Source organism: Homo sapiens, chromosome 1 (assembly GCF_000001405.40).
Source record: "Homo sapiens chromosome 1, GRCh38.p14 Primary Assembly".
NCBI lineage: Eukaryota > Metazoa > Chordata > Mammalia > Primates > Hominidae > Homo > Homo sapiens.
Window position 1 is genome coordinate 32,326,227 of NC_000001.11, and position 7,612 is coordinate 32,333,838.

Consider the following 7,612-nt stretch of genomic DNA (forward strand, 5'->3'; position numbering starts at 1 on the left):
CTTGGCTCACTGCAACCTCCGCCTCCTGGGTTCAAGCGATTCTCCTGCCTCAGCCTCCCCAGGTAGCTGGGACTACAAGTGTATGTCACCACGCCCAGCTAAATTTTTTCGTATTTTTAATAGAGATGAGGTTTAACCATGTTGGCCAGGCTGGTATCGAACTCTTGACCTCAGGTGATGTGCCCGCCTTGGCCTCCCAAACTTCTGGGATTACAGGTGTGAGCCACCGCGCATGGCCTATCTTTGGTATTTTTTCAAAGTTCCTTGACCATGAGCCATAGTAAGAAATAAATTTACACATGCAATCCAGGATACATATAACATATGCATGCATGCACACACTCACTCACTCTGAAGCCAGAGTTTTACAAAAGAGCAGTTACCCTTACTGTTACTCTGATATTTTTTTCTATGCTATTTCATTAAAAAAATATATATATATATACACACACACACTAATCATGATGTACTAAATCAATTTTAAGGCCTGCTAATGGGTTACTACCCTCAGTTTGGAAAATCGTTTTTTACGAGTAGACAGTATCATGTATTCCCTGCTGAAGTAGGGTGGGAGGGAGGGGACTGGTCTATGAATTGCACAATACAGCTGTTGAATAGGCAGGTCTTAACCTTTCACTAGGTTCCCTGGGCTTCTTGGAGGAAGGGGAGAGTGGCTTAGTAACAGGCTTATGTTCTCTTTTCTCATGCCCAGCAAGTGCTGTGAAACTTAATAAGCAGCAGACGGACATCGCTGTGAATTGGGCTGGGGGCCTGCACCATGCAAAGAAGTCCGAGGCATCTGGCTTCTGTTACGTCAATGATATCGTCTTGGCCATCCTGGAACTGCTAAAGTATGCCTGCCTGGCCTTGTCTCTTGGAAGAGCACCTTAGGCCAGGTTCCCATTTCCCTCTTCCCCTGGGCTTGCCTCCCTAGTTTGCTTTTCCTACCGATGTGCTGGCTAGGATGTGCTCGGTGAGTGTCTCTGGCCATCATCTCCTTGATGGGGTCTTGGTTTGATCTGAGCCACGGCATGATCAGGGGCAGATGCTGCTCAGATCCTGCCTCCAGAGTGTCCCTGTGTGGCTGGAGTTGACCCTGGCTGTAGAGTAGGAAGATCGGACTTGGTCGGCTTGGTCAGGCCTCTGGAGACACCCGGCCGCTCTTCCACCTTCCTTCAGCCAGTTTCCACGTCTCTGGTGCTTAGAGATACCTGAGGGAGGCAGCCAGCCCGGTAAGCTGGGAGCTAGCGCCCTTGGCACGTCCCATCCCCAAAGAGCCCCCAGACCCCTGACCCCCTTCTGATCCTAGGTATCACCAGAGGGTGCTGTACATTGACATTGATATTCACCATGGTGACGGCGTGGAAGAGGCCTTCTACACCACGGACCGGGTCATGACTGTGTCCTTTCATAAGTATGGAGAGTACTTCCCAGGAACTGGGGACCTACGGGTGAGAACGCCCTTTAGGAGCCAACCGGCTTACCCTCAGCTGGCAGCTCTACTTCTCTCTCCTATCTCATGCCACTAAAAATTGCTTCTTGCCTCTTCTGCCAATCAGAATACCACATCCCAATCTGAAGCACTTGCCCTGATCTCTTTCCCTTCCTTATTCTGGAGGAAGGGAATGATGGGACATAAAGGGCCAGAGAAAGAAGAGGGGTCTCCTGACTCACTGTACTTTCCTCCTGGCCACAGCTGGGTTGCATCACACTATTCTTATGTCTCATAAGCCTTGAGTTTGGGGGTAGGAATTGGGACTCTGAAGGACATCTCAAGTGTTCTTCATGTTTTTGGGTCACTTTCCCCTTTAGCCTTTTGACTGAAAACTATGGACTGTCTCTCCAGAAAAGTACATGAGATTTTACATCTGATATAGAATAGTTAATAGACAAGTCCCCTTACTGAAGCCCATCCATGAACCTTAGGATAAGAATCCTTGGAAGCTACTTCGTTGAACTGTTCCATCTGCTTCTATTAGCATGAATGTGGTGAAATCAGCTGCTTTGCCATGCCTGGTAGCCCTTGGGTAAAAAAGTGGCACTAATTCAGTTGTTTGCCATGGCAAGCGTTAGAATAAATGAGCATTCACTTTTTTTTTTTTTTTGAGACAGTCTCTCTCTGTCACCCAGCCTGGAGTGCAGTGGCGTGATCTCGGTTCACTGCAGCCTCCGCCTCCCGCCTCCAGGCGATCTTGTGCCTCAGCCTCCGAATAGCCGGGATTTAGCTGGGATTATAAGTGCGTGCAACTATGCCCGGCTAATTTTTGTATTTTTAAAAGAGATGGGGTTTTGCCATGTTGGCCAGGCTGGTCTCGAACTCCTGACCTCAAGATTCACCCGCCTCAGCCTCCCAAAGTGCTGGACTTAAATAGGCGCACTCACTATTTTGAGGTTACTGGGAAGGACTTTCTTACCTCTCTCCTTCCCTCCACAACACCCTAGAGAGGGAGCATGGGGGAAGAGGAGTGAGCATTAGAGCTCTCTGGAGTGGAAAGGGTTGTCAAGGGTGGCTGTCACTTCTGTGACTCACCTGCCAGCCAGCTCTAACCCAATCCCAAGGTAGAAATCTTGTGCTATAGGGTAGGCTATTCAATCTCTGGTCCCATCAAGAGCTCTCAGTCTGGGGGTAGGCTTAATGCTATGTCCAGAGATGATTTGCCAGTGAAGCTAGATTTGCCAGTGAAGAGAATGGTACTAACAAGGTACCTCTGTTCTGTCCTGGCCCACATCATGGGCCTAGCTTGTCTCTCTTGAACCTCTTCCTTTATCCCTCCAGCCCCTATCCTTGACCTTCCTTCAAGCTTCATCCTTCAGTTTTACTTTAATGGCCTTTTTAATTAGGATATCGGGGCTGGCAAAGGCAAGTATTATGCTGTTAACTACCCGCTCCGAGACGGGATTGATGACGAGTCCTATGAGGCCATTTTCAAGCCGGTAAGTGGCTTTATCCACCCCTTGGGCTACAAACAGGGGATTGGTTGGCGGTGGAGGGGAGCAAAGCACCCCCACCATACCTCAGGAATCTCTCCTTACTAAAGCTGGTGGGGAGATAGAAGTGTTTGAACCCTGGATTGCTGTGTGGTCAGTTAGGGGAACAAACACCCATATTTATTGGTTCCTTCTATGGGTCAGGTCTTCTGCTGGATACAAAAATATCTAAGACATGATCTTTGCCCTCACGGACTATGGTGGGGAAGGCAGGCACATACCCAGTAGTCTATGATTAGTACTGTTTTTGTATCTCCATTTCTTTGGGCTGCTGGGAGATTATTGTGTTCTTTTGGTAGTGGTATGTCTCCTTGGTTTTTTGTGTTCCTCATTGCCTTACATTGATGTCTGCACATTAGAAGAAGTAGGGACTTACTCCAGTCTTTGCAGACTGGCTTTGTCTGGGAAAGCCCTTTGCCAGTCAGCCCATCCAGAGATTCTGGAAAGGCTGTGTGGCATGTTCCATGGGTAGGCTGGCCTAGTGCCTGTGTTTTTGAGGGATGATCAGAGGAATGAGAGACAAACTACTGCCTGGGCTGGCAGGAGGGTAGCCAGGGATGATTTCACAGAGGTGCTGATGTTTAAGCTGGACTTTGGAAAATGAGGAGGTGCCCATGTGAAGAAGGAGGTGATGGCAGTAAGGGTGGCATTTAGTAGAAGGAATGGCACTAGCAGAAGTGCAGAGGTGCCAGTGTGGCAGCATGTAGGCCAGTGTGGTGTATGGGAGGAGTGCTGAAGGAGGCGGTGGGAAGTGTATGCTGGGCTCAGTATTTCAAAGGGAGCCTTGAATGCCATGCCAAGGAGTTAAATCTTCACTTATAAACAGTAAGAAACTGCTTAACCTAATAAGGTCAGGTAGTCATTCAGCAAACACTGACTGCCCACTATGTGCCTAGTATTTAATAAGGGCTACAGAAGTGGGAGTTGTGGTCTCGGTCTCAGTAACGTTAGACTCTGCTTGTGAGAATAAGATAAACTAAAAGTGCTTGCTCATAATGTAAGGCTTCAAGTCTGTAAGACCGAATGAGTAGAGTAGATGCAGCTAAAGGTCAGGAAGGCTTCCTGGAGGAAGTGGCACTAGAGCTTGGGCAACAGAAGAGACTTAGGGAGTTGAGAGGGAGGCCATTCTAGGTTCAGTGTTACTAGAGTGTTAGAAGGGTCTTAGAGAACTTTTTAAATTGGAAAATTGAAATCCCAAGTGGGCAAGCAAGGGCTCCAGCCTAGCACTCCCTTTTCTCTCCCACATAGCATGAGGGAGAGTGGAAAGGTAGGAGTGGGTGGGAAAGTGTTGCACCCAGCCTTTCCACTCCAAACCTCGTATTGCTTTCTTGAGGTTGGTGGTGACCAGGATGTATCATTTTAGGTCATGTCCAAAGTAATGGAGATGTTCCAGCCTAGTGCGGTGGTCTTACAGTGTGGCTCAGACTCCCTATCTGGGGATCGGTTAGGTTGCTTCAATCTAACTATCAAAGGTGAGACCAGGTAGCACAAGGATGGGTGGGCGGGGTCCTGCTTGGTGCTCCTGTAACTCAGCACCCCTTCTCCCACCAAAGGACACGCCAAGTGTGTGGAATTTGTCAAGAGCTTTAACCTGCCTATGCTGATGCTGGGAGGCGGTGGTTACACCATTCGTAACGTTGCCCGGTGCTGGACATATGAGACAGCTGTGGCCCTGGATACGGAGATCCCTAATGGTAATAGCTGCAGGGCCAGGTTCGGCTGGGCTGGGTGGGAGCTGGAGCTCATCTGTCCTTAAGTTTATAACCCCTTCCCCGTTGGTCATATGACCGCTCCTCTTCTGATACTAGTCACTGAGTCTCCTGCCTGTCCTCTTGTGATCAGCAGACCATAACCATCACTTTTTCCCTAGTCCTTTTTAGCTCTCTCCCCTCTCCCTCCTGCTTTTGGTCTGGACAAAGTTCTCATTGGTAATTTACAGCTTTGGAATTTCTACTCTGTAGAGTAACTGGAGTAGCGAGTGAAGGGAGCGCTCATAATGAGCATGGCCTCAAGTGTCCTAAACCAGGGACATGGGCCTTCTCCTAGCGACATATACACCACTGGTACAGACATAGGAGAGTGATGTTAAAAAGATGGAAATCCCATAGGTACCCGTGTCTCACAGTGTCTTGGAGGCATTCTCCTCTGTTTGGATAAATAGGCCCAGAGAAACCTACAAATGCTTTAGGGTGCTTACGTGCAAATGGTTAGGGTGCGGTGGCCAGGTCTCTTGACGGTCTTCTCTCCTGCCCCAATCAGAGCTTCCATACAATGACTACTTTGAATACTTTGGACCAGATTTCAAGCTCCACATCAGTCCTTCCAATATGACTAACCAGAACACGAATGAGTACCTGGAGAAGATCAAGTGAGTATATCCTCCAGCCACCCCTTGGTTGAACATTCCTGACTTTGGTTTGTCCCTGACCAGAGCCCTGCTACTCTCTCCCATTGGCCACAGACAGCGACTGTTTGAGAACCTTAGAATGCTGCCGCACGCACCTGGGGTCCAAATGCAGGCGATTCCTGAGGACGCCATCCCTGAGGAGAGTGGCGATGAGGACGAAGACGACCCTGACAAGCGCATCTCGAGTGAGACCCAGACCTAGAGCCCTATGCCTTCCATTCAATAGGCAGCTCACACTTCCACCACCATTCCTGGCTGCACACTCCCTCCAAGCTCCCCACCTGTAGAGAAATCTGTTTTCGAGTTCCAGTGCCTGTAGGAACAGGTTAGGGAGCCCGAGTTCCTCCCTCTTCTGGTTCCCTTTCCCTTGGTGTCTCTTGGAGGACACGCAGGGAAGCACTGGGCATAGATGCTGAGCTAAATCAGCACCCGCCTGCCCTCTCACCCATGCTTCCCACTCCCTCCCAGTCTGCTCCTCTGACAAACGAATTGCCTGTGAGGAAGAGTTCTCCGATTCTGAAGAGGAGGGAGAGGGGGGCCGCAAGAACTCTTCCAACTTCAAAAAAGCCAAGAGAGTCAAAACAGAGGATGAAAAAGAGAAAGACCCAGAGGAGAAGAAAGGTGGGTTTGGGTTCAGCTGGGACTTGGGTCTCGAGCCTGAGAGGATGAATCTATGTAGGGCAGTGGGAGGAGGGAGTGACTCAGGCCCTGCCAGCTCCTGTGGGGCTCTTCCTCAGTTCCTTGAGCCTTTCAGTGGCTCCCAGAAGTGGCAGAGCCCACAAAACAATGAACCTCTACTGCCTGAGCACGGCTCTCACATACCACCCCAGCCCTTTTCCCAGCACTGCACCCCAGTTTCCCAGGGGGCTGCCTCCGCCCACCAGGTTCTGGCTGTAGCAGGCTGGGAAACCAGTCCAACCTGTTCTCAACAGGGCTCACTGGGAGGACCAGGGATGGGCTTTTCTCTCTTTATGTCCAGTGAGCTGTAGTGTTGGGGAAGGGGTCTCAGGGTAAATGAAGACCTCATGGGTCTTCCCAGAGGTGCTGCCCTTGGCCATCCCTGTACTCTTGTGTTCTAGAAGTCACCGAAGAGGAGAAAACCAAGGAGGAGAAGCCAGAAGCCAAAGGGTGAGGAAGGAGCTGCCTGTGGCCATCTCCCTGGCATTGGAGCACCAGCCCCTTTGTCCCACCACTCTGAGGAAAGGCACAGGGACAGCTGGTCCAGCTTACAAAGGCCTCTTTCAGGGACCAGTCTGTCCAGCTCTGCAGTTCTAGGCAGAGCTAGGAGCCCCAGCCCCCAGTAGTCACCTAGGATCCTGTGGAAGTCACTGTCTGCACTTTTGCCCTGAGGCTCTGGGCTGGGTCATCTCATGCCAGTCTCTGCTCTCTCCACAGGGTCAAGGAGGAGGTCAAGTTGGCCTGAATGGACCTCTCCAGCTCTGGCTTCCTGCTGAGTCCCTCACGTTTCTTCCCCAACCCCTCAGATTTTATATTTTCTATTTCTCTGTGTATTTATATAAAAATTTATTAAATATAAATATCCCCAGGGACAGAAACCAAGGCCCCGAGCTCAGGGCAGCTGTGCTGGGTGAGCTCTTCCAGGAGCCACCTTGCCACCCATTCTTCCCGTTCTTAACTTTGAACCATAAAGGGTGCCAGGTCTGGGTGAAAGGGATACTTTTATGCAACCATAAGACAAACTCCTGAAATGCCAAGTGCCTGCTTAGTAGCTTTGGAAAGGTGCCCTTATTGAACATTCTAGAAGGGGTGGCTGGGTCTTCAAGGATCTCCTGTTTTTTTCAGGCTCCTAAAGTAACATCAGCCATTTTTAGATTGGTTCTGTTTTCGTACCTTCCCACTGGCCTCAAGTGAGCCAAGAAACACTGCCTGCCCTCTGTCTGTCTTCTCCTAATTCTGCAGGTGGAGGTTGCTAGTCTAGTTTCCTTTTTGAGATACTATTTTCATTTTTGTGAGCCTCTTTGTAATAAAATGGTACATTTCTATATCCTCCTGAGCTTGTTTCCTATGTGTCCCTGGGTTGGTTTCAACTCTACTTCCCTGCCGTTCTGGTGTCCATGAGTATTGGGGCAACCCCCTGAACAAGAAAACCCCATAAACTTACCTGCCTGCCTTAACTCCTCCCTTGAGGTTTGAGGTAAACTACTTTCCACCAATCTTCTCACCCTACCCCCAGAAGACCACTCATTAAAGCACCAC

The 7,612-nt window shown here is 49.7% G+C and overlaps 1 protein-coding gene across 2 annotated transcripts in view, besides 1 other annotated feature; it reads left to right on the top strand.

Moving 5' to 3' along the window:
• HDAC1 (histone deacetylase 1) overlaps positions 1-7,400 on the top strand; it is a 41,544-nt gene extending 34,144 nt beyond the window's left edge. The window contains exons 5-14 of one of the 2 annotated variants that reach the window (NM_004964.3): positions 713-851; positions 1,310-1,451; positions 2,842-2,934; positions 4,352-4,460; positions 4,542-4,682; positions 5,248-5,356; positions 5,450-5,580; positions 5,864-6,016; positions 6,475-6,523; positions 6,791-7,400. In NM_004964.3, the coding sequence (NP_004955.2) occupies positions 713-851; positions 1,310-1,451; positions 2,842-2,934; positions 4,352-4,460; positions 4,542-4,682; positions 5,248-5,356; positions 5,450-5,580; positions 5,864-6,016; positions 6,475-6,523; positions 6,791-6,818 (1,094 nt within the window). In that variant the 3' untranslated portion in view covers positions 6,819-7,400. Of the gene's footprint in view, positions 1-712; positions 852-917; positions 1,233-1,309; positions 1,452-2,841; positions 2,935-4,351; positions 4,461-4,541; positions 4,683-5,247; positions 5,357-5,449; positions 5,581-5,863; positions 6,017-6,474; positions 6,524-6,790 lie in introns of those variants that run through there. The other variant, XM_011541309.3, reaches the window with a different exon arrangement.
• Positions 3,858-4,058: a silencer, noted in NCBI's record as "peak162 fragment used in MPRA reporter construct". NCBI's record gives its function as "represses an SCP1 promoter by STARR-seq MPRAs in K562 erythroleukemia cells {active_cell/tissue: K562}" and the evidence as "EXISTENCE:reporter gene assay evidence [ECO:0000049][PMID:32103011]".